Raw genomic sequence first — 26,585 nt, 5'->3', positions numbered from 1 at the left:
GAAATCAAGGCTGCAGTGAGTTGTGGTTCACACCACTGCACTCCAGCCCAGCCTGGATGACAGAGCAACATCCTGTCTAAAAACAAACAACAAAAAAAGGAAAGCAACCAATAAAAATAACACAAATAAAAAGCAATACAGTATAACAACTACTTATATAGCATTTACATTGTATTAGGTATTATAAGTAACCTAGAGATGATTAAAGCATAAGAAAGGGATGTGCATAGATTACATTCAAATACTATGCCATTTTATATAAGGGACTCTTTTTTTTTTTTTTTTTGAGATGGAGTCTTGCTCTGTTGCCAGGCTGAAGTGCAGTGGTGCAATCTTGGCTCACTGCAACCTCCGCCTCTCGGGTTCAAGAGATTCTCCTGCCTCAGCTTCCTGAGTAACTGGGACTACAGGCTCATGCCACCACGCCCGGCTAATTTTTTGTATTTTTAGTAGAGACGGGATTTCACTGTGTTAGCCAGGATGGTCTCGATCTCCTGACCTCGTGTTCCCCAATCCCTCGGCCTCCCAAAGCCGAGGGATTACAGGTGTGAGCCACTGCCTCAGCCTGTAAGTGACTCTTAAGTCCCTTGCATCCACAGATTATCTGTATTGGGGTTGGGGGGAGGGGTGAGTCTTAGAACCAATCCCTATGGACACTGAGGGATAACTGTGTGTACTGACTCTTTTGTCTTTTCTGCCATGCCACTGAGAAATTGGCAAACACCAGGAGGAGAAATGTGGCAGAGAATGTTATGATCATATCAGTGCATTTTCTTTCTCTTTGGATCTTGATTCCTCAAATGTTGGCTACTTTGCTTTATCTGCTGTGGTTTGAAATAGCTACTTTAAATAGAAATTCAGCTTTTATAGTTTATTTAAGGGAAAGCTGCTTTGAAGCAAGCTATGCTCTCATAGCCAGAAGTTGAAATTTCACAGTTTTATTTAGCTTTTTCTGGGGTCAGTAGGCACTGGTCCTTGGAGTCACCCAACTGCAGAAAACATGGTTTTAAAGCACCCTAGAGTAGAAGCCCCTCTCATCACACTCAAGATGAGGATGGCAGCTCAGGGGGCTCAGCTAGAGGACATTACCAGCTCTCACCAAAGAAACCTTCATTCTAAATTGCCACTCCCTTTAGTCTTTATATTCCTGAAATAGATGAAGGGATTCAAGAATCCTGGAGCAGGTCTTCAATTCACAGTGTAAACTTTCTTTTCTGTCCCTCCCTCCCTCACTCTCTCCTTCCCTTCTTCCCTCCCTCCCTCCCTCCCTTCCTTCCTTCCTTCCTTCCTTCCTTCCTCTTTTATGAGACAGGGTCTTCCTCTGTCACCCAGGCTGGAGTGCAGTGGTGTGATCTTGGCTCACTGTAGTCTTGACCTCCTGGGCTCAAGCGATTCTCCCACTTCAGCCTCCTGAGTAGCGGCAACCACAGGTGTGTGCCACCGTGCTGGTGAAATAAATTTTTTTTTAAAGAGACTGGGGTCTTGCTATGTTGCCCAGGCTGGTCTTGAACTCATGGGCTCATCCAATCCTCTCACCTCAGCCTCCCAAAGTTCTGGGATTATAGGCATGAACCACTGCACCCAGCCTGTAAATTTTCTCGGTGGAGGTTTGAATTTTACAGTCATATGAGTATTTTCTGATTGGTGCCTAAGTTAATCCTGAGTCAGGAAAAGCCCCAGTCTATATCCTATTGCACAGCCAAACCAAATTTAACATGAAAACATCCACTTCTTCCTGGAAGTAAAATAAATGGGAGAACTAAAAACATTTGAAAAGTGGCCTTCCCTTTGGAAGTACAGGAACCCTTGGTCCCAGGATGTCAAACTCAGCCTGCTTTTTTGGGAATGGTGCTTCTGTGACATTATGGATTAAATAGTTATTTTTGTTTTCTTGAACTGCCTAGGATTCTTTCACTCATAATATTATCACTGTGAGAAAATGCTTCTCAATGAGGCCATTTTATAAATAATCTCTGGAACACAGCTCATGTGAAAGCTTTGGTTTTGGATTACCTTTGTTAAACCTGTTAATTCAGGAAGCTAAAGATTTAGAAAAGGGAATTAGATCCCTTTGGGGAAAACTGTGCATCTCCCGAATTTCTTTCCCTGATAACCACTCAAAGAAGGTATTCGAGAGCCTTGTGCTTTCTTGTGACGACAGCTCTGTACATAGTTTATAAAAGGAAAAGTACATTAAAAATCTGTTGCTGGGCGCGGTGGCTCACGCCTGTAATCCCAGCACTTTGGGAGGCTGAGGCGGGCAGATCACGAGGTCAGGAGATCGAGACCATCCTGGCTAACACAGTGAAACCCCGTCTCTACTAAAAATACAAAAAAAAAATTACCTGGGCGTGGTGGCAGGTGCCTGTAATCCCAGCTACTTGGGAGGCTGAGGCAGGAGAATGGTGTGAACTCAGGAGGCAGAGGTTGCAGTGAGCCGAGATCATGCCACTGCATTCCAGCCTGGGTGACAGAGCGAGACTCTGTCTCAAAAAAAAAAAAAAAAAAAAAAATCTGTTTCATGCAAGCTTCTGGAGCCTATACGAAGACACAAAAATTATGTTCTTGTAGAAGGAAAGGAAAACCAGTTTCAGAGCTGTGAGGGCCAATGGTTTTGAGCTTAGGTACATAAGTGATCTCGGCTGAAACCTGCAAGTGTGCTGGGAAGTGCCAGAGTTCTTGAGGCCTCTGATGTGACCGTCTGGGCATCACTTGAATTGTACTCACTTTAAAAAAGGTAATTTCTGCTGATGCCATTTGCTTGAGTCTAGTGGGAGATATTTTGGCCACGCCAGTTTGAAGAAAGATTATCTGCCACATGTCCTGGATGTGGCTGGACAGAGGTAAATTAGAGCAGGGCTAGAAATAGGCTTCTTGAATTCATTGTCTAAGGCTGCTGTCATGAAGTCGCACAGACTGGGTGGCCTAAGCTAAAGAAATTTATTCTCTCACAGTTCTGGAGGCCAGAAGTATGAGATCCAGGTGTCAGCAGGGCTGGTTCCTTCTGAGGCTGTGAGGAAGAGTCTGCTCCAGGTCTCTCTTCCAGCCTTTGGTGGTTTGCTGGCAAGTTTGGGCATTCCTTGACTTGTAGATGACTCACCCCAATCTCTGTTTTCATCTTCATATGGGGTTCTCCCTGTGTCTGTGTCCAGATTTCCTCTTTTTACAAGACACCAGTCATATTGGATTAGGGACCCATCCTACTACACCATGACTTCATCTTAACTGATTATATCTGTAATAACCCTATTCCCAAATAAGGTCACATTCTGAGCTACTGAGGGCTAGGTCTTCAATATATTAATTTTAGGTTGCAGGAGGTAGGACACAATTCAACCCATAACATTTCTGTTAACTTGAGATTCCCAGACACTCTTCCCCTAATTTCCAAGCACCATATCCATGAGAGTTAAGAATCTGATACATCACTTCACTGCAGGTAGCTATTATGATTGAATCAGGGTGAGCCATTAGCTATCAGACTTTGCTGGTAATAGGCAGGTTAATCTATTATGCTGAGAAACTGTCTCTGGGGTCACAGCTTCCTGGCATGGAGAACCTAACCCTGAAACCTTTTATTAGGCGCGTGCACAATTGTGTTGATTGATCTGTTTTTAGAAACTCACATTTTATAGCCATTCATTTTCAAATCTGATAATTAGGTTGATTAAACTTTGACAAGCATTAAAAAAAAGGAATATGGAGAAGAGAGCTGACAGTCCTAGGAGAGAAAAATAATGGGTCTTTAAAAAATAAAATTTGAAAATACAATGGGCATCTGGAGAGTACTTGTTAAAATACTTGTTAAAATAATTAGTGACAAAACTTTGAATCTCAAATTATCTCCAGATTTTTTCAGCTTGATTAACATGAATAAAAAGCCTTAAAATGATACATGGGGTTTTGGTTTTGACTGCTTTTTTTTTTCTTTTTTTTGAGTTTCAGTGCCTCTGAGTGCTGAACCACTTTCTAATCTCATCATTCTACTCCACTGGTTCTCAACTAGGGGCAGTTTTGTGCCCTCCTCTCCACTCTGGGGATATATGGCAATATCTTGAGACATTTTTGGTCTCAACTTGGAGGCAGGGGCAAAGCTATTGGCACCCGGGGGCAGAGGCCAGGTGATATGATTTGGCTGTGTCCTCACCCAAATCTCAAATTGTAGCTCCTATAATTCCCATGTGTTGTGGGAGGGCCCTGGTGGGAGGTAATTGAATCCTGGGGGTGGGTCTTTCCCATGCTGTTCTTGTGATAGTGAATAAGTCTCATGAGATCTGATGGTTTGATAAAGGGGAGTTCCCCTGCACACTCTCCCTTCTTGCCTGCCGCCATGTAAGATGTGACTTTGCTCCTCCTTCACCTTCCACCATGATTATGAGGCCTCCCCAGCCATGTGGAACCATGAGTCCATTAAACCTCTTTCCTTTATAAATTACTCAGTCTCAGGTATGTCTATAATTAGCAGTGTGAGAGCAGACTAATATACCAGGGATGCTGGTGAACTTCCTACACTGTATACAGCACAGCCCCTCACAACAAAAAATTATTAGCCTGAAATGTTAAGAGTGCCAAGATTGAGAAACGATTATCTTTTTCCATTTAGTTCTGCTGGGAAGTCTTGGTTCTGTTCTTTTTAATGTCACCTGACATTCACTCTGTGTGTGGAGAGTTAGCTAACACTATGGGGAGGTCAATCCAACATTTCAAGGGAGGTCCAAGGTCCTCCTCAAAGCTTTTGAAAATGGCTGCGAGCTCATGTTTTCCTAGACATTAAAAAAAGTCACATAATATAAAAAGGTCCTACAGGGACCTTTTATATTATGGGGCTTCTGCTTTTAGTAAGCCTACAGATTTTAATCCAATCTTCTTTCCTACTGTTATGCTATCTGCTCACTGCTAAAACATGTGGAATTTGACCTCCCAATCTTTATATTCTCCAATAGGCATTGGTGTAACAGATTTTGCTGCAGTTTTTTCTTTTTCTTTTTTTTGGAAGGGGGCATGCATTTATTTTTCATAGTCACAAAAGAGCAGACAAAAGGTCATCACAATTTCTTTAGTCATCCTACTTGCTGCTTGGTTATATTTTTTGGCACAACTCCCTTCTGTGGGTTTATAGGCCTCCAATCCTCAGATTCCCCAGTGAAATTCAATTCCTCTGTACTTGAAGGTGCACTGTAATTTAGTATTATGGGTTCAGCTTGATTCCAAATCTCCCTTTGCATAATTTGGAAGTCATTACTGAGCTACACTCTGCTGTTCCCTGTCCTCTCTAGGTCTTGCTTTAACTCACACACAGATCAGGTGAAGGGCTGATGTTCTGATTTATCCCTTTCATGCTCTGAGACCAGTCCCCAGAGGAGACAAAAGAAACACAGAGAATTCTGTTCCCACTCCAGTGATGATGCAGCCCCATTCCTCCAGACCCCTCTTAGTAGTTCTACTTGCCTTTCCCACCCTTTTCCTATTTTTTTCGTTGTCCACGAAGCTATTTGACCCTGCACCAGTCAGTCAATTTAGAATCATTGAAAGTGCAGCTTAAGGAAACCTTAGAAAACATTTATTTTAAGCTTCTCATTTCAGAACTAAGAAAACTGCTTAGGATTAACCCAAGGTTAATTAATAGTATCTGGACCAAGATCCAAGCGCCCATTGTCTGGTAGTATTATTCATGATTACTAGGAGAAAAACACCCAAATCTTAGTTCTCAGGGAAATCTTTTTATTACTCTGAGCCTCAGTCTCCTTGATAAAAAATGGGAAGAGTTGGATTAGATGATCTCTGGGTTTTTTTGTTTGTTTTTGCACTAGTAATAAAATAATTTTCACAAATTGCTTGGAGACCCTGAACATCCCCCAATTTAGACAAAAAAAAAAAACCCCTAAAATATTTTTGTTACATATTGAACATGTTTAACTTTTTTCACTCTTGTGACATTTTCACCTATGTGACATTTTTAGAGAGACATAAGAGTGTAATAATGGGTAAGTGCACAGACATTACACATAGAACATCAGGTATGAATACAGGCTTGGCTTCTTACAGGACAAGCTGTGTGATCTTGGGCAAGCTACTTAACCTCTCTGTGCCTTTGTTTCATAATCTTTAAAAGGCACTTGATAATCATAATACCTATCCTAAAGTAGTTTGGGGGATTAGATGTGTTCAGGAAAGCACTTCAACTGGTAACTGGCACGTGGTAAGTACCATGTAAGTGCTAGCACCTATTATTTCTGACACCTGCAATTAGTAGGATATAGATCATGAAATAAAATAATTTGGTTAGAATAGAAAGATTAGAGGGATACACTTTTCACCTTACATACACTTCTTTTCTTGCCAAAGAGCAACTGACTCAATATATAAGAGGCTCTCATGGTATTATTTTTAGACCGTTCGTGAGGAGAAATGTCTAACCTTATTCACACTTGAGATAACAAATTATTCACGTCATGAGAATTATCCATTACCGAGGGTGGGCTGAGAACCATCAAGGTTGTGCTATGTAAGCACTTTGGCTTGTGCTGTTGGGTGAGGATCTTTGGAATGTATTGCAGACAATTTATGTTTCTTGCAAAAATGCAGAGAAAAGCCAAATTCTTGCAAACCGGGGCTTCAGAGCATTGGTTTTTTGAATGTAATTTTTCTAATCCTTGCCATCCAAAGAGATGTGTTTTGCCCTGGAAACCCCAACTGTATTTAAGTTAAATTATTTTTAATTAGCCTCAAATTATTTTCCCGGGAGGTCGTAGACGTGAACATTCCTCCTCCCTTTCTCCATTATCTCATTCAGGAGCATCCAGTCAGAGCCATGGACCCAACTTTGGGCAAGAGTTTATCCCAAAGTCATTTGATCATAGACCAGTTGCCAAAGGAGATCGAAAGGTGGTAACAGCTTGGGGATGGTTCTGGAACAGAAGTCCCCCAGTGAGGGCCCTGCCTGATCCAACACCACGTGACTATTTCCATCAGATGAGATGACAGAGGGGCTTGCGTCTTCCCTTGCTCCCTCTGCATCTTGGAGTTGAGGACCATGAGGTGCCACTGTGGGGAGATGAATACCAGCCATCAGCAGCCTCCGCCTCTGCCAGCAAGTCAAGGGGTGAGCGAGCAGCCACTGAGAATCACAGGTGCAGAGTCACCAGGCAGGTGAGGAAGGCATGTTTCAGGAGCCCCTGTTGACAGTGAAGGACAGCCAAGTTACAAAGTGTCACCTGTTATGCCAAGACAATTTATACATAAATCAGTCTCCACCAGGGGTGAATATTAGGTGGAAAAATGCCAGGCTATGGAGTTTGCGCATTGTTGTGCCAGGTACGAATCTGTGGCTTGAAAGAAAAATCAAAGCAGGCAGAGGAATGTCGGAGCAAGAACAAGGATGCTCAGAGGGAGGTTGGGGCTTCTCATTCCTTTTGAAGGCTCTTTCTAATGTTCTCTTTGAGGTGGTAAATTCTAGAGCTCCTGTCTTTCTTTCAGAAGCCAATGGCTTAGTCTCAGTACATTCAGGTGTTTTCTCTGCTCCATGATGATTTAGTGGCTGCACATTCCAGACCCTTTTCCTCTCAATGCCCACATTCTTTCTACATTGGACCCTAAATTTGATCCAAGACTGTCATTTGTGATGGCATTAGGGGTCATTGCAGCTCTGGAGAAACTGCATCAATACCAGAGAGGTGAGCTGCTGGTTTCGTGTGATCCTTTGAAGCCAGCCTGGGGCAAGACATTTTTCTAAGCTTTAGCAACCATGAAAGTTTCTATGGATTTTCTAGGAAAAGGGGTCTTGAGAAGAAGCATCGGGAATTAGAATCTAATATACAAGAGGGCCGTGAAACGCAGTAAAAGCACTGGGGCTGCAGGCCGTGGAATCCTGAGACAGGAGAAGAGGAAGCCAAGCAGGGCCGGTCAGAAAGTTGATCTGAGGCTTTGCAGAGTCCCTGAGGAATAAAGTTGAAGGAGCCCAGACCTTTCTGGACCTTTGGATGCTCCGGCAGCTATGCAGATAGAAGGCGTGTTCTCTTCCCCGGGCCCCTTGGCTGACAGCCGTGATGAGAGCCGATTCCCTTCCTTCTGAGCAACAGGGCATCCAGTTCTCACTGCAGACCCCACCCTGCTTCATCCACATCTTGCTGTACTCCAGTTCCTGTACCTCTATGGAGCCCTTTTCAGTGTTCCAGGTTGTCAGACGCCTCTTTGAGGGCCCTGCCCCTGGTACCATGCCTCTATTAGAGCCTGGCTCACTGTGTCTGGCGAGGCTTCGCCCTGCTCCTCAGTGGGCTACTAGATGGTGGAACCTTGGGGAACCAGAACTGTGTCACAGTCTTCTCTCTGTCCATTCTCACACCTCATATGGAGCGTGGCATAAACTAGGCACCATTTGTTTATTAAGTAAAAACAAAATGCTGCCTCCTCATTTCCCATGAAAGTTGCAATCTAAACCAGCATAATTAGGAACAATGTGATTCACTTTAAAATTAGCATTTACTTTGAAAAACTCTATTATAATGGTTGTTTTTAAAGGGGCCGAGATGATAGACCAAAACCTTACCGAATCCCTGGCACTGTGTAAAGTGTTATATACACCTGTTATCTCACCGATTCCTGAATGTAACGTGTGGGAATTATTTGCACCATTTTATAAATCAAGAAACAGAAGTTCAAGAGATAGAGGTGGGATGCCGAAGTGAGTTATAAAGTTGAATTTCAAACTTAGGTTCAGCTGACTCAAAGCCGGAGGTTACCCTACACTGCCTGGTATAATGAAGAGTGTTTCACTTTTCTCTGCAGTGGGGCAGATTCTAATTTCGTATTCTTGTAAGAGCCATATATAACTTAGCATGCGTGCACAATATAGTTAAAAAGATAAATGCATCTACTGAAATTCATGTTTAAAATGCACAAAGCCAGGGTACCTTTGAAATACTTTCTAAATGAAGCTCATTGCCCACCCCCTGCAGTTTAAAAAAATTATTTATTTTTCACTAAGCCAAGTTAAAAGCAGAGGAAAAGGATTTTAGTAGCAGATCATCTCCCAGAGGGGAGTGATTTGTCTTCATTAGTATTCCAATTTTTAGTATGCAAATTGTATGTACTTTTTTCTCTCTTCTTTATATTCGTGGCAAATTATAATTCACTCTCACTGAGGGAATGGCATGGAAAATGAAAAGAACCTAATCTTTAACATTAGTCAGACTTTCTCTGATTTGGGCGGAAGTGTAGGGGCCCGCCTCAAGGCATGGGGTCAGCTGAAAGACCTTTCGAGGTTTTCTTCTAGTCCTAGGAGTCATTTAATTATTCTCTTTTTCTGATTAGTTTTTCCCATCACATTTTAATATTTATGAAATTGAGAAGCACCTTACTATTGATCGAATGTTTAAAATTTTGGTGAATTGTTATTTCCTCCCATTTTTTGTTGTGTCTCACAATTGATGGTATCTTCAAATTGAGTAAATCTAGGAATCCTTGTTGGGACGCTCAGGAGCTGTTCTGATACCCTTTAGCTCTCAACTTCTAAGAAATGGGGGGCTGGCATCAAGGCTACCCTGGTTAACATTTCCTTCTAAATTTCCTTCTGGTTGACCAATGTCACAACCTTCCAACATCCTTTAGTTCTTATCTATTAAACAACATTATAGCAGTAATCAGCTGTTCCTTATATCTTAGAATATTCTTCCTTTGCTTAATAAATAGGGTCAGTGTGATTCGGAATGTTTTCTCAGCTATTGATGCTGCGCATGGAGAAGGCTGAAAGTCCAAGAAGTAGCAGTGAGCAACACAAGATCCCCACAGCTCCCAAGAGAAAACAGGCAGACCCTGAGCACAGACATCTCCGCGTTAGTGCCAGGCTGACGCCTCCTGGTTGGCGTGGTGATGGGAGGGGGCTAGATCAGGAGACAGTCTTGGGATGTCACCATGGGATGAGGGTTTCTCTTATTCTCCTCTTTGTGATGTAAGCCTGGCTCAGGTTGTCACTTTAGAGCTACGGTAAGGATGGTCATCCCTGAGGTCCCTTTGAGGATCTTCATGACATCAACATGTCTTCCCTATTTCTGTGTGTGAAACTGATCTTTGTTTCCTCGTGTTACTTCAGGATCCCAATAGCCATGGGCTCTCGGTAACATCTTCATGATGCTGGCGTGTGATAGGTTTATTTATTCCTTTTCTTCCTGCTGTCACTACCCTTGCCTTCCCAGTGTTTATTTTGCATGCCTTAGCACAGACCCTGGCCAGCTGAGTTACTATTAGATGCAATAGGATCTATCTTTTATTGTATCTGGTGGGATAAACCCTCTACCTGGTCAACATCTCAGATTGCCAAGAATTTAAATAATACTTTATTTTTTGAGACAGAGTCTCTGTCGCCCAGGGTGGAGAGCAGTGGCACAATCTCGGCTCCCTGCAACTTCTACCTCCCAGGTTCAAGCGATTCACGTGCCTCAGCAAGTGAGTAGCTATCTGAGTAGCTGGGGTTAAAGGGATGTGCCACCACGCCCAGCTATTTTTTTTTTTTATTTTTAGTAGAGACAAGGTTTCTCCATGTTGCCCAGGCTAGTCTTGAACTCCTGGCCTCAGGTGATCTCCCAAAGAGTTGGGATTACAGGCGTGAGCCATGGTACCCTGCCAGTAATACTATTTATAATGCAGCTGCACACAGATTAACGGGATGCCGAAGGAGACATTTCCTATTGTCAGGGCTTTCAGCTAAAGTCCCAAAGCTGAGGATAATAAGCAGTAGGTGTTTCCATATCTTAAAGGGAATGCTAGGAGGTGGCAAATTCCTCTTCCAAATGCCTCACTAAAGAAGAGTGGATTGTTGTGCTACCCCCACACTCTATGTAAAGAGAAGACTAGATTTCATGACATTTCATTCAAGAAGAGCATTGGTAGAAAGGGGGATTCATGGAAAGAGTGGTTACTGATCTAGCAAGAGGTCTTAGGCAGTGAGGCTCTGTTCCCTCCTTATGCTGCCTGAGGGCCAGGGCTCCAGGTCGCCTTTTGGAGATAGGAGCATGCCAACAAGAGCGGAGACTGATTTAGTGACTGGAGGCCTGCTTAGCTGAAGAAATCCAAAGATCCGTCTCCGTGTGGTAGGGGGTGGTGAGAACCTTCTTGGGAGAATGTGACACATTTCCCGGAGTCTGTGCATGCACGTGAGTTTATGAGCTTGTACCTCTTGCTTGCTTTCATAACTGTGGAGAGGGAAGGCTGATAAGAGCAGTTTGTGATGTCAGGAAGTTGAGAGAAGGCAGCTGGGAGGGTGACACTCACACCTTTTGTCTGGTACAAATGTATGCATTCCTATGGACCAAATGAAATAATGGGCGATAACCTGGCAAAAGTGCCTTGAGGATACAATGGCCAAGAGGATATCCTGCGGTGGTCAGGGAATTACAGCAGTAACAGTTGTGTGGATGCACTGTTAGGGCAGGAACTGGAGACAGCAGAGCAGATCGCCCCTATAGGGGACCTACCAGGGTAAAGTTCCCTGCAGGCTTTTGAAAACTCTTCCATGCACCCCAAGAAAGAGCCAGTATGTGGACATCTCCCAGTGGGTAACTCACTAGCACCCGGGAGGAGGGACGTGTGCCTCTTCTTCTCTGATCTGGTTCCCACCTGCCTGGCTCTGGAGGAACAGGTGTCAGGACAGGGAGGGAGAAGAGAGAGTATGGCCCCCATTACACATCCCCACTCCAGGGCCAGGCTTGTGTTGTGACATGGACCTGAGGCTGAAGTTTAAGTTACATTAGTGAGTCATGTCTGCAGAAATCAATTTATAAGAAGGCCCTTCTTACCACTGCAACTGACCAATAAGCTCCTTTGCCGTCAAGAACTGGGAACAGGACTCAGACCAGGTACGTTGGAAGGAAGTGCTTGGAGAAAAATGAAACCTATTTCAAAAGAAGCTCATCAATGTCAGATGTTCAATAAGCTCATCACTTAGCTTGGGTCACGATGACATTTGGGACAAGCCATCAACAGGCGTTGCATGGCCTTCCTGAGCTACATCTACTGTTAAAGGATTTGAGGGCCTGGGTGTTAATTAAAGCCTCCTCATGTCTGCTCAGAAGACATTACTAATCCTTCTCAGAGCGAAGGATTATGAATTGTTATCAAAATAACCACAACTTGTATCTTATATTTAATTTACTATATTCAGGCACTTGTGCTAAAATCTTCACATGTTTTTATCCTCACAATTACCTAGGAAGTAGAGATTCATTATTCTCATTTAAAGATGAGAAATTGGGCCTGGTGTGGTGGCTCATGCTTGTAATCCCAGGACTTTGGGAGGCTGAGGTGGGCAGATTGCCTGAGGTCAGGAGTTTGAGACCAGCCTGGCCAAGACGGCAAAACCCCATCTCTGTGAAAAATTCAAAAATTGGCTGCGTGTGGTGGCACCGGCCTGTAGTCTCAGCTACTCGGGAGGCTGAGGCAGGAGGATTGCTTGAACCCAGGAGGTGGAGGTTGCAGTGAGCCAAGATCACGCCACTGCACTCCAGCCTGGGTGATAGAGCGAGACTCTGTCTAAAATAAAATAAAATAAAATAAAATACGATAAAATAAAAAAGGATGAAAAATCAGAGCTTAGAGAAGTCAGTTGCCTGAGGTCACACAGCAGGTAAGTGGCATAGCCAGCACTTGGATTTGGATAAGTTTGTTTTTCTCATGACATCTGGCCTCTCTGCCTTGGACAGGGTCAGTGGTCCTGGACCAGGAATGATTTTGCCTCACTCCTTGCCAATGTCAGGAGCTGTATCTGGGTGTACACAAACTGGGAAGGGAGGTGTGCTTCTAGCATCTAGTGAATGAAGGCCAGGGATGCTGCTTAACATCCTACAATGTACAAAAAACTTCCTCCAACAAAAGTCAGTAGTGCTGAGGCTGAGAACCCCTGGATTAGGCCCCCATCCCTTTATCAAAGGAATGCAGCAATATTCAGATCTTAAAAATACATTTTTATTTTAGAATAGTTTTAGTTTTTTTTTTTTTTTTTTGAGATGGTGTCTTACTCTTGTTGCCCAGTCTGGGGTGCAAAGGTGGGATCTCTGCTCACTGCAACCTCCGCTTCCCGGGTTCAAGCGATTCTCCTGTCTCAGCCTTCCGAGTAGCTGGAATTACAGGTACATGCCACCACGCCCGGCTAATTTTTTGTATTTCCAGTAGAGATGGGATTTTGCCATGTTGGCCAGGCTGGTCTCGAACTCCTGACCTCAGGTGATTCACCTGCCTCGGCCTCCCTAAGTGTTGGGTTTACAGGTGGAGCCACCGTGCCTGGCTCAGTTTTAGATTTAAAGAAAAGCTGCAAAGATAGGTAGTTCAGGGTGTTCTCATAGACCCAAGGCCTGGCTATCCTTATCTCACATTACTGTGGTTCACCTGTCACAGCTAATAAACCAACATCGATACATTGATATTAACTAAAGTCCACCCTTCTTTCACTTCCTAAATTTTTACTGAACCTCCTTTTTTCTTGTCCAGGATCCTGCATTTCGCTTTGTTGTCCCATCTCATTAGGCTCATTTAGACTGTGACATTTTTTCAGACTTTGGTTTTGGTGGCCTTGAGAAGCTTTGAGGAGTACTAGTCATGTATTTTGCAGATTTTTTTTTTCAATGAAGCTTTTTTCTGATGCTTTTTTCAGCGTTGGGAGGGGGTTATGTTGTTGTTTTTTTTTTTTTTGAAGGAAGACAACAGAAACAAATGCCATTCTCTTCACATCATGCTATTAACATGACTCTTTGCTGTTGACATAACATTGATCACCTGGCCTGGGTAGTGTTCGTTAGCTTTCTCCACTGTAGAGTTACTCTCTCCCCACCCCCTCTCACACTGTACTCTTTGGAAGGAAGTCACTATGTACAGCCCATGTTTAAGGAGTAGAGAATTTTGTTCCACATTCTTGAGTGGGGAGTAGCTCCATAAATTATTTAAAATTCTTTTGCGTGGGAGAGTTGTCTATCCTCTCTATTTATTTGCCTGTTTACTCAGCCATTTATTCAATCAATCATTCATTTATATCAGCATAGTGGTTTGAACGGTGGCTCCCAAAAAGATATGCCCACTACCTAATCCCTGCAACTTGTGAATGTGACCTTATTTGCAAAGAAGTCATCGCAGTTGTGACTAAGTTAAGAATTTCAAAACAAGATTATACTGGATTATCTAGGTGGGTCCTAAATCCAATGCCAAGCATCCTTATAAGACACAGAAGAGGAGGTTCACCCAGGAGAAGGCCGTGTGGAGATGGAGGCAGAGGTTGGAGTTATGCAGACACAAGACCAGGGACATCTGGAGCCACCAGAAGCTGGAGGAGACAAAGAATGGATTCTCCTCCTAGAGTCTCAGAGGGAGTGTAGCCCAGCCAACAGCTTAATTTCAGATTTTTATCCTTGAGAATTGTGAGAAAACAAATTTCTATTGTCTAAGTCACAGACTGTGTGTTAATTTGTTATGGCAGCCTTAGGAAAGTAATATAATGAGTATGAGTTTATGAATGCTTATTTTATATTTTGCATTATAATCTCATATAATGTTATTTATTTTATTGCTTAACTTCTTCCAGCTTTGGTCATTGGGAGCCCTTTCAGTTGGCAGCAGTGGTTGTTAACAGGCATCCCTGTCTCCCATCCTGGTGTGTGTTTCTGGCTTCTGCTTTGTAGAGCATTTTAATCCGCCCTATGCAAGCACCACCTCTGAGTCAAGTCCAGAGCCTCTGACTCAGTTTGCATGGAGCTAGGTCATCTCCAAATCCTGAACCAGAAAGTGACCTTTAGTGTTTTATTATTCTTTAATCATTCTGTTACCCATCAGCACACCTGGGAGTTTAACTACTACATTCCAGAAGGTTTGCCAGGAGAGGGAAGAATTAAGCAGGAATGCTGGCATCAAGGAGGTTTTTCTACGCCCTGAAATGTTTACATGTTTTAGCAACACACTTGCATACCATTAATGAGGAGGCAGAAGCAAAAATGTGCATTCAGACTGCTTCAAATTGGGCCTCCTTAACTGATATGTTTTCATGCAAAGGCAGAGTTAATGTTTTTTGTTGGCAAATTTGAAATTACAGATACTTTAGGTTAAATGTACATCCAAGTTAACCAAGGTGTCTTTAGCTACTGTAAATGAGAGCCAGCATTCTAGGTTCCCTGGGGAATTTCCTGGAAGATTTTGAGGATTAAGATTGAAGTTGCTCTCCAGATGTAATACGGATAAACAACATTTCTTGGGTAAATTTAGACTTTCTCTCTTTGTAAGCCAGAAGGGCCTTGGTATCCAGTTGCCACAGAGCTTGTAGAATTATTATCTTCATCGCCTTTGCAGTAGAATGATTTGAGAACTGAACGTGATAAAAAGAGTAGAGATAATTGTGAGAAATGATGAGGCTCCAAATCTCCCCCACCCCCGTTCCCCACTCCCTGCCCCAAGCTCATACCCCTTCAGGATTTCCTGTGTTCATAAATGCTCCTTATTGATCAGCCTTGAAGCTGGGCTGTCATTTTTATCCACTTTCCTCCTTCTCATCTCCCTTCCTTTTTCGGTTCCTCCTTCACTCTCCCCTACCCCATCCAAACTCCAAGTACAGCCCATTTTTCTTCCTTTCACCTCTGTATCTATTTAACTTTGCCTCTTACAGCCAGCACCCTAATGCAGACCCGCATAACCTTATTTCTGAAATACTGCAAGACTTTTAATCTAATTTCCTACTTTTCAACCCTCCTTTACATTTCTCTAAGTGCATTAATGCATAATCACATCTCCTAAACATAATCTTGTGTCTTGATATTCCCTAACTCATTATCCTTTAAGGTTTCCTCAATGCCTGAATAAGAAAGTCCACACTTTCCTGTAACTCTTACGTTCTCCCAGATCAAGCTTAGCATGCCTAACTGTAAATCCTATAATTCAAAAATGGCATGAAACTTCTCTGCTCACTGAAGTGATTATTGATGCGTAGATCTGCCAATTGTCATTTTCTTTCATTTTCCTTCTTCTTTTCCACTGTGTAATCCATTATTTCAATGCCACATCCTCTAGATGAGCTCTTCTCTTTTAAGGGTCTACAGGCTGTTCCTGCTTCAGGCAATGGCCTCCCTCATTAAACTCCTGTGTTCTTATTGGCTACTGCAATATTTTTCAAACTGAGGTCTGCAGAGACATACGATAGCCACGGTTCTCAAACTTTCAGCATTTCATCAAAACCACCTGGAGGGCTCGTTAAACAGCGATCACTGAGTCCATTGCCAGAATTTTTGATGCAGTAGGTCTGTAGCGTAGGGACGCATTCTCATTACTGATAAGATTCAGGTGTTGCTGGTCTGGTAACCACATTTCAAGAAAAAATGTAGTCCTATGACTTTAAGATTTTAGTGTCTATTGGAATCCCCTGGAGAGCTGATTCAAAGCTTAGATTCCAGGGCACTCATCCTCATAGTCTGATGAGGTAGGCGTGTGCTGGGCAGGCCCTTTATCAATCCCAGGTGGTTCTTATCTGTGGTTCTCAGCCCTGCCCCAGAAGTCTTGTTCAGCCAGGTGCAAGCACTCTCGTTTGGGAGAACAGTGGTAAGCCGTTAGGCTCTTACCCCCTAGCATCCTGCGCTGCTCATCTCTGTGCATTTGATTTATTGCTTCAATTAAAGCTTTAAGTTTATTAGAAAGAGTTTCTTTTGATTCTCAGTCTCTAGCACGGTTTTTCCCAAGGAGTAGATACCCAAGACAAATCTTCTGGATTTTACCCAGTTTGAAAAAGTAATTCCTGTCTATTTTGATGCACTGTGAAAGTAAGAGTCGAATTGTGAGTGGGGGTGGGAGGGCTTGATTGGGCTTTGTGAAAAGGCCTCAGGCTGTTTGAATTCCCAAGACGAGCTTCCAGTTTCCCTGATGTGGACGCGTTAAGGCCAAGCCTCATTTTTCTCTTTTGCTGGAGGTGAGAATTGAATATCCATATGCCTGTGGTTAAGTGGCATTCTGATTGCTGGGTTAAAACTAAGCCACTTTCCTACATACTTTCAGGTGGTTTCTTATGAGTGACAAACTTTTAAAAAGTGAAACCAAATGTCACTTTATTTTAGCCTTAAGAATAAAAAAGATTGAGGGCATAGAAAAAATGAGGAGGATGATTTTTTACTTCCATCTGGACTGATTGCTTAATGTTTCAGCAAGGGACAATGTATGCAGAATAAAGAGGTGTGCTGAGAAGGGGTGGGCAGGGATGCTAGAGGGCTACATATATTTGCCTGGTGGCTCTGTGTGCCTGGTACTAGGGACCTTGCAGTATGAGGTCCTCTGTATCTGGTCAGTACAGTTGAGACATACAGATATATAGATGTGCAGGTGTATAGATGTACAGTAAAGATGTATAGAAGTACATACATATGGTAGAGATGTGTAGATGTACAGATGTACAGTAGAGACATGCAGTTGTACAGACTTAACGATAGAGATGTGCAGATGTATAGATATACAGTAGAGATGTGCAGGTGTACAGATGTACAGTAGACATGTACAGATATATAGATTTATAGTAGAGATGTACAGATGTACAGACATACAATGGAGACATACGGATGTATAGATGTGCCATAGACATATACAGATGTATAGACATACAGTAGAGATATACAGATATACAGATGTTCAGTAGGGATGTACAGATGTATAGATGTATAGTAGAGATGTATAGATGTACAGACACACAGCAGAGATGTACAGATGTACAGTAAAGATGGGCAGATGTATAGATGTTCAATAGAGCTATACAGATGTACAGATGTTCAGTAGAGATGTACAGATGTATAGATGTATAGATGTACAGACAAGTAGAGATGTACAGATGTACAGTAACAATGGGCAGATGTGTAGATGTACAGTATAGATGTATAGATGTATAGACATACAGTAGAGATGTACAGATATATAGATGTAGCATGTATAGCTGTACAGACATATAGTAGAGACATGCAGATGTATAGATGTACAGTAGAGACAGATGTATAGACGTACAATAGAGATGTATAGATGTATGGATGTACAGTAGAGACATACGGATGTATAGATATACAGTAGGGATGTAAAGATATACAGATGTTCAATAAAGATGTACAGATATATCTCTGTTGCTTAAGAGGAAAGCTAGGGAAAGAGATTAGAAGTGATCACCTTCGCAAGAAAATCAGAATTTAAAAATCATATATTTAATTTAAAACTGATTGGCCTAAACTTACTTGATCACTATTAGCGTTTCCCTAGACAGTGTTCCCCAGAACACCATGTAGAAAATGTTTGTGTGTGTGTGTGTGTGTGTGTATATATATATATACACACATATATATACACACACACATATATATACACATATATATACACACACACATTTTATATATATATACACACACACACACACACACACACATACACAACTGAATCTGTGTTACAGTAATACAAATTGTGCCAGAATTTTCAGCAGCATATTTTACTTATTTTAAATGAATTATGGAGGTGTGAACATTCTCTGTTATAAAAGTACTATTCTAGAACGTGCTGATGTCCTGAAGAATATCAGAATGTTCTAAAGGTCAGATCCAAATTAGTTTTAAGAAATTTGATTTAATAAATATTTACTAATTTGACCAAGAAAATAGCTTTTATTTCTCCAAAGAACTGAATTTTATTTTAGGTGAATTCAAAATTTTAGAGTTAGAGAAAAGCTTAGAGTACAAACTAAGGTAGACAAATGAAGTGAGTTGTACAGTGGAAAACTCCCGATTGTTCAATGATAGGAAAAGTTGAAAAAAATAGTATACATGCACAAAGGAATATAATGTAAGTATTGAAAAGAAGGAGAATGATTGATAAGGTGACCTGGAAAAGTGTTCTTTATGCATTGGTGAGTAAAAAACAAGCAAGTTGCAATATAATATGTATAATATGATCTCAGTTTTGCCAAAAAGAAAAAACCCAAACAAACAAGCAAAACCCCCCAAAACAACCAACCGACCAACCAAAAGCTGTATGTAAATATACATGTTTTGGTATGTTTCCACAAGAAAAACATGAAAACATACTTCAAAATGCTGATATTGGTTATCTTGGAAGGGTGGAGTGGGATGAGGAGTGATTTCTTGGGTTTTTCTTTTAAATGTCTCTGTTGTTTGCTTGGGGGCACTGACTGTTTAATGGTTTTGTAGATAAATGGAAAATTCAATAGTATATTTTTTTAAAAAAGCTCTCAAAAGAGGAGGCCTGAAAGTGTTAGAAATACCTTGTTAGGAAAACTGCTCACCGTTTTTCCTTTCCTTTAAATGAGCTGTGGGTGAGCTTGTCAACTCTAAAGTAAATGGGGATCTCGGAAGGTCTTGAGCATACCTGCTTTGTCCTTAAGTACTAAGTGTTCTTCCCTGAGATGTTGTTTAAATGATTTTGTTTAAATGATCAACCGGCCTATGAAGTAGGAACTTGCAAGCAAAGGTGAACTTCACTTCTGCCTAAATTATTTCCAAAAAAATTGCATGAAGTTTTCAGAATATTAAGATTGGAAATGTCCAGTTAGAGGATCTTATAGTAGAGCAATTTGTGCAAAAAATTTACTAAATCGCATTATCATGTTAGTCCCAGAGGAAATCCAAAGATATACCCTAAAACACTGTCCATGGTCTCTAGGGTTTTAGCGTGGAGATGAAGAGACAGATTTAAGTACACATCAAAAATGGAGAATATTGGCCGGGCGCGGTGGCTCTCGCCTGTAATCTCAGGTGGGTGGATCACCTGAGGTCAGAAGTTCGAGACCAGCCTGGCCAACATGGTGAAACCCTGTCTCTACTGAAAATACAAAAATTAGCTGGGCATGGTGGCAGGTGCCTGTAATCCCAGCTATTTAGGAGGCTGAGGCAGGAGAATCCCTTGAACCTGGGAGGCAGAGGAGGTTGCAGTGAGCCGAGATCACGCCATTGCACTCCAGCCTGGGCAACAGAGCAAGACTCTGTCTCAAAAAGGAGAATATGATTAGACGATATACAATCTGTGTAGTGCCCACTTTCAGCAGTGTAGACATCCAAAAATGGAGAAATGAGTGAGGGCTGCAGATTTTGGACAAATGCTGCAATGAAAATTTTTGTACAACTAGAAAGTAATAAAATATAAAATAAAAATCCAAGTCTCTGCAAAAAGCTACAATTACTCCCAGGTAAATAATCCACACACACATAAAACTAGACTATAAAAGAATTAGAATTCCTCTTAAAATTGTTCAATGGACAGCATCTAACATCTGACATTCTCCTTGAAATCTTATTGATGTTAATTGGGATTATGAAGGTGGCTAGTGAGGGTGGCTGACTTTTTTGTATTATTTAAATATTTTCTCAGTTTCTGCTGCTTCTAGGGGCTCTGCTGCTTCTAGCGTAGATTTCCACTTTAGTAAATCTACAAGTGAGCTTGCTGCTCCAAATATTCTTTAAGGAAACGGAATGATTTTCCCTGGCAGTGTTTACATCTTCTGTGGAGCTCTCAGGAATGACCTCCTGAGCTCTGTGGGCTTGTCATCTTTACTGGGCAGCCTTCCAGCCAGGGCAGGTATTTGAAAAATTGTATGCTTAGGCCTTTGGACATTAGTGGTATCCCTGCTGAGGCTGCCTGTGTCTAAACTGCTTCCTGAATGCTGTGATTACCTAGAACACCATGATTATTGATGACAGGGACATACTTATAGTGTCCTCTCCATTTGCAAAGTGCTTTACAGTGGCATTCACTTATTATTTATTAGATGTTAATGTCTAATTATAGCATGCCTTTGCCAAGCCTTAGAAAGGTTGCCTGGTAGGCTTGGCTTCTGGGGTGGGATGCCCAGCCCCGCTCCCCCTGCTGGGTTGAATGCATGTGGTCTCATTCTGCTTCAGTCCTTCGGTCCAGCATACCAGCCTCTTATGTGTCTGCAACCCGAGGACAGGAGACTGGGGCAAAGCAGGCAGAACTTGCCCTGATCCTGGGCTGGATTCAGCCCTTCAGTATCAGGTCACCAACTCCTGCTGTGAGGATTGGGTACTTATGGCTTTTCTCTGCAGCAAGGACTGTGTCCTTCCCTTTGACCTGAAAAATGTATCCAGTTGCAATCACTAGGAAATAAATCTACCCAAAACGTACAAATAGTTTGAGTGTTCTTTCATAAGACAGCGGAGGTACTTACCACACTGCATTGTGCATTGAGTAGATAAATGTTTGTCTTTTCTAAAATGGGGGCCATTAAAAAAATTGCAGACAAAAATCACTCTTCTTGTTGTAGATCTATTGGCATTAGCTTTGAGGATTTATAACCCAACTGAGCACTTGAGTTAACAAAACATTCTTTGTCCAAAGAAATTTAGAAATGTAGTCTGAGTTTCTTTTTAATTATGAAAGAGAAGTAATTAAGAACTGGATGGCTTTAGATTTTGATAAACTCTGGGGCTGTGAGTGTCTCTCATGGGAGTGGGTTGACTGAACCAGGGACTTCCAGCCCAAGGCAAAAGTCAGTGTGTTGACATCACATAGCTGTGCTATTGATTAGCTTTCCACATTTGGGTGTTTACAAGCTGAACAGAAAATACTGCTGCTATGCATGTCTGCAGCTATCTCATTGTTGGTTAGGGATCCTTCAGTCCTAAGTCTCTTCTCTGTTGCTGTGGAGTTGAAGCTGAAGGTTCCCAACACTTCTCAACATGCACTTCATTGTTGGGATAAACATGGGCACTTCCTCCTTTCACTGGGATCTAACTGTCTTGCTGTTCTCCACTGTCTTCCTAAACTACCCCAATTGCCACAGCTCAATGGAACTGCAGTGCTCACATCATATTGCTGTGGAAGGCATGTGAGGAGCAGATGTTGACCTTAAATTGCCCCTCACTGGTTTCAATTCTAGAAGGACTAGAAAAGCATACAGAAGTGAAGTGTTATTTCTCCATAAGACTTACTGTAGAACATATATAGTAGGTATATAGTCCCTAGACTTATACTTCATCTAGTATTGTAGTTTATTTCCTTTTTTGTGTAATAGTGATAGCTGTGTTTATTTTGCAGTTCCTTGAGAAAGAGGAGTCAAATCCAAAAAGGACATTAGTTGAGACTCTGAAGACCATCCCTATTTTGGGAAAGCTCAAGATGGGTGGCAGCAGGACCCTGGTTCCCATTAAGGAGGCCTGAGTTTCCAGCTGCTCTGCTCCCATTGCAGCAAGGCAATGGACATTTGAATAAGGTAAGCCTGGCGTATTCCTACCTTGGATTTTGACTCGGGCCATGGGGCAAAGAAGCAGGGGGCATTCTAGAATTCCCTGTCCAGGGTTGGCAGTGGTGCTAGTAATAATGAGGCCACAGTAAGAATCTATGTAGGATCTTCTATTAGGATTTTGGCTGTGGTTCTGGCCTTCTTTTATTTTGTCCACTTTTCTGTGCTTGGTTGACTAGTCTTTGCCTGAATCCTGTCATCTACCCTATATCCTCCTGATAAATTGCATTTTGCCTTCAAGTAACCAGAGTTGGTTTCCTTTACAGGGAATCAAGAACCCTGCACAGCACTCCTGTTCTGGGGCCCAGGACATTGACTACAAAGGTTAGTAGAAACTATTTTGCCTAGTACCTCTTTTTAATAATAGAAGAAAGTTTTCTTTGAACTTGAGAATGAGACTTTGTGTCAGCTACTGGATATATTCCAAGTCAAGTGTCTGAAATACTCACAGCTTTAGCCACTGTGTTTCTATTATTCTAATGCTTTATGCTCTTAATGGCTAATTGTGCATTCTGTGTAAGTGCTGATGGTACCAACTTGCTCCAGATTCTTGTTTTGACTGGTTCTGCTAATACCTCTTTTACGTATTCCTGATGTAATTACTTGTGAATTCATGCTGTAATGAGAGAAATTCTATTAAGTATTCTTAGCTTTATGAGGGAAAACAATAACTTCTAATGGAGGTTATCCAAAGAATGCTTTTGCTATTACTTAGGAAATGGATTGTTTGGTTTGTCTCACTCCCAAATGTTCACCCAGATTCAGCAGTCAAAAGTTGTGTCTGTTGCTTTCGTAGGAATTTGCTTTCTTCTTCGTGTATATTTACAGGAGGGGTTATGTTTACTTGGCATTTGGGAAATGTTTTCACAGTGCTCATTTCATATAGCAGATTCTCATTTTGTGAATGAATATCATCTTGGTCCATGTGACACAAATCTCTGGATTGGTCTGTAGGGGCAGACAGTGTATCTGCTATCTTTCATTTGTGTATGTAGAATTCCTTATGTATGGCATAGTGATGTGTGCATGCAAATGCTTATGTAAGTTAATATGATCACATTAACATGTATTAAATACGCAGAATTATGTCAATAATTAACACAAAATGTATTAAATACCCAGAATTATGTCAATAATTAACACACAGTTGCAATATGTAACAACAAGCAAACTCTGAATATATAGAACGTTTATTCAGCAAGTATTTACAATGGCATCTTACTAGGTGCTAGGCAGTTTGAGGGGAGCTGGAGCTGGCATGCTTTCCACTCAAGGTATTATCGATTTAATTGGGGAAACTTACAGTTTCATTGGAAGCTTATACTCTAATAGCTTTTACGGGATTTTAGTCAACCCACAGATATAAGCTCCTTGTTGGCTTACGTGTTCCTGGCAAAACTTTGAAAGTAGGCATTTGGAGGCAATAAAACAAACATCTTTTAAAGGTTTTAGGTCCCTAGTACAAAAGTCTCTGATATCTCTGAATTGAAATTCTAAGGCTGACTTCTAAGCTATTTTCATAGTGACCCTAAATAGGGTAACAGTAAAGTTTTGAAATCTGAGACCTGAAAGGGAACAAAAATAGGAAATCAGGACATCTTGGACCTGGAATGCAGCCCAGATCATTTGGCTTTACCAGGAGCCCAGAAACTTTTTAGATCATTTGTATGTGAGAAATCACTGACTTGACTCCCATGGTCTTTTTTTTTTTTTTTTTTTTTCCCTTTCTACTTCCCCTCCCACCCCATTTTACTCTTCTAGAATCCCAAAAGATACCTGTTCTGGGCCTCAGTGGTTTTGGATTTTTAAATTTTTTAGGCCAGGCGTGGTGGCTCACGCCTGTAATCCCAGCACTTTGGGAGGCCGAGGCGGGTGAATCACGAGTTCAGCAGTTTGAGACCAGCCTGACCAATATGGTGAAACCTTGTCTGTACTAAAAATACAAAAATTAGCCAGGCATGGTGGCATACGCCTGTAATCCCAGCTACTCAGGAGGCTGAGGCAGGAGAATCGCTTGAACCTGGGAGGCAGAGGTTGCAGTGAGCCAAGACTGCACCAGTGCACTCCAGCCTGGGGCAACAGAGTGAGACTCCGTCTCAAAAAAAATTTTTTCTTTTTTAGTAGAAGGCAGAAATACCAGTGCTACTTGGGAGACATCCACCATTGTTCTAGGGAGTGAATTGGAGCCAGACTGCCTCTTCCCACTGATGTCACCTCCTTTTCCATGACCTTCTTCCTGATTGTGGAGCAGTTTTCCTTAAAGGGCCACAGAGTAAATATTCTAGGCCTTGTGTGCCGTATGCACACTCAATTGCAATTACTCTACTCTGCCATTGTAGTGTGAAAGTAGCCAGGGAGACACAAACAAAGGAGCATGGCTGGGTTCCAATAAAACTGTATTTATAGAAGCTCAATTTTGAATTTCATATAATTTTCATAGGTTATAAAATATTATTTTTTCTTTTGATCTTTTCCAACCATTTAAAAATTATTCTTAGCTCAAAGTGGTACAAAAACAGGTGGCAGCCTGGCTTGCATGAGGGTCCCTTAGTTTGTCTATCCCTATTGTAGAGAATCATTATGGAATGTTTCTTATCTGTACCCTGAGGAATCCTAGTTAGAACTGATGCTCCAAGAAAATCAGTGTAAAAGGAACATAATTGGCCGGGCACAGTGGCTCACACCTGTAATCCTAGCACTTTGGGAGGCCGAGGCGGGTGGATTACCTGAGGTCAGGAGTTCAAGACCAGCGTGGCCAACATGGTGAAACCTCATCTCTACTGAAAATACGAAAAATTAGCCGGGTGCAGTGGTGCCTGCCTGTAATCCCAACTACTCTGGAGGCTGAGGCAGGAGAATTGCTTGAACCTGGGAGGCAGAGGTTGCAGTGAGCTGAGATCACACCACTGCACTCCAGCCTGGGCTACAGAGCAAGACTTTGTCTAAAAAAAGAAAGAAAAGAAAAGAAAAGAAACATAATCACCTCAACACTAATTAGAATCCTAGAATTTTAGGAATTACTTTGCTCACATTCCTACATTTAGAGATGCTGGGGTGGTGGCCTAGAGGGAAATGACTGCTTCTTGTGACCTGGCTTCTCCTGATTCACAATTGTTAGTTTCTCTGTCCCATGCTCATGCAGATACCCAGGGCCCTGGACTATATTCCATATTTGTTTATTCATTAAAACAATTATTTTATTTATTTTCCTTTCTCCTCTCAGTTGGGATTCTCCTGGGGTGATGATCTGCTAGCATTTCCAGGGAGACAGATGCCTGCTTGCCTAGTGGCCTTGAACCTCAAGGAGGCTTCCCAGGGAGAATTTTGGATGAAGGCGTATATAAAGGGGTGAGGTAGCTGCTCAAACTCTTGAGTCACTGCTGTGTCATCTTTTATAGGTTGCCATCTCTAGTACAAGACGAATGTGAGGGTGTGTGAATGTATGTGTAGTGTATAAGAACAAAATCGGTGATACGTTTGCCTATAGCTTTATGAAGGGTGGATCAAAGTCAAGGAGTGAAGCCCATAGACTGAAAAGAAAAATGAAATTCGGATTCATCATGGCCCAGCTTTTAGCCACACATCAAAGATGTTTGGTCTGTTGGCTTGGCTTAAGAACACACTTAAGTTATTGTATAATTTATTTCCCAGAGTGAAGATTTTAAGTGTTGAGGGACTAGAGACACTGTGAGTGAGAAAACCAGTTTTCTTTTGGATATTCATCTGAAGGTAAATAATTCAAAGGTAAATTTAAATGTGTGGGATAAATAGTCTACCTCTCCCGAATACTCTTTCCTATCTCATTTTTGGTTGATAGTTCCAAGATGATGCCTCAACGACTCCCACATTCCAAAGTGGAAGACTGGGACTCCAGAGTCCCTGGAACTTGCAAAGGAGGGGCCAAAATCCTGTTTCGTGGCCCTTAGCTGACCTCCTACACAAGGCCATAAAAGAGGTTGGGGAGTCTGAGAGAAGAACCTGGAGTTTGGAGAGAGGATTGGTTTGGGAAAACTTGGGCTTTGAGTTTCATTTTTCACCCAAGCTCCAGACCTCTCTTGCACACTCCTCACCCCCTAACCTAAAAATGATTCACTTTTTTCAAGGTAAGAGAGGTGGCTTGAAGAGGTTTATTTGCACAGCTGGAGCTGTGAACCCTGCGGTGCATAACATATGCCTACAAAAAAACCTTCACAGGTGAGAGGCTGGCTGGACCAGCTGTGGCAGCTGAGGACAGGGCTGTGTTTGGGTCTGGTGTCCTCCGTCTGATGGTGAGTCAGACATTTCTGTCACCTGGGGGCCAGATGAAGGCCACATGTCAGGGCAGCAGCTTGGAGTT

General features: G+C 42.0%; 1 long non-coding RNA gene across 1 annotated transcript; it reads left to right on the top strand.

Annotated features, from left to right (window-relative positions):
• Window positions 1-6,822: 6,822 nt before the first annotated feature.
• Window positions 6,823-25,978, top strand: LOC105372776 (uncharacterized). The gene is made up of 4 exons (XR_001755001.1): window positions 6,823-7,149; window positions 22,045-22,219; window positions 22,516-22,573; window positions 25,901-25,978. It is a non-coding gene; the product is annotated as an uncharacterized LOC105372776 (long non-coding RNA).
• Window positions 25,979-26,585: the final 607 nt, after the last annotated feature.

This window comes from Homo sapiens, chromosome 21, assembly GCF_000001405.40.
Source record: "Homo sapiens chromosome 21, GRCh38.p14 Primary Assembly".
NCBI lineage: Eukaryota > Metazoa > Chordata > Mammalia > Primates > Hominidae > Homo > Homo sapiens.
This window is presented reverse-complemented; position numbering and strand designations above follow the sequence as displayed.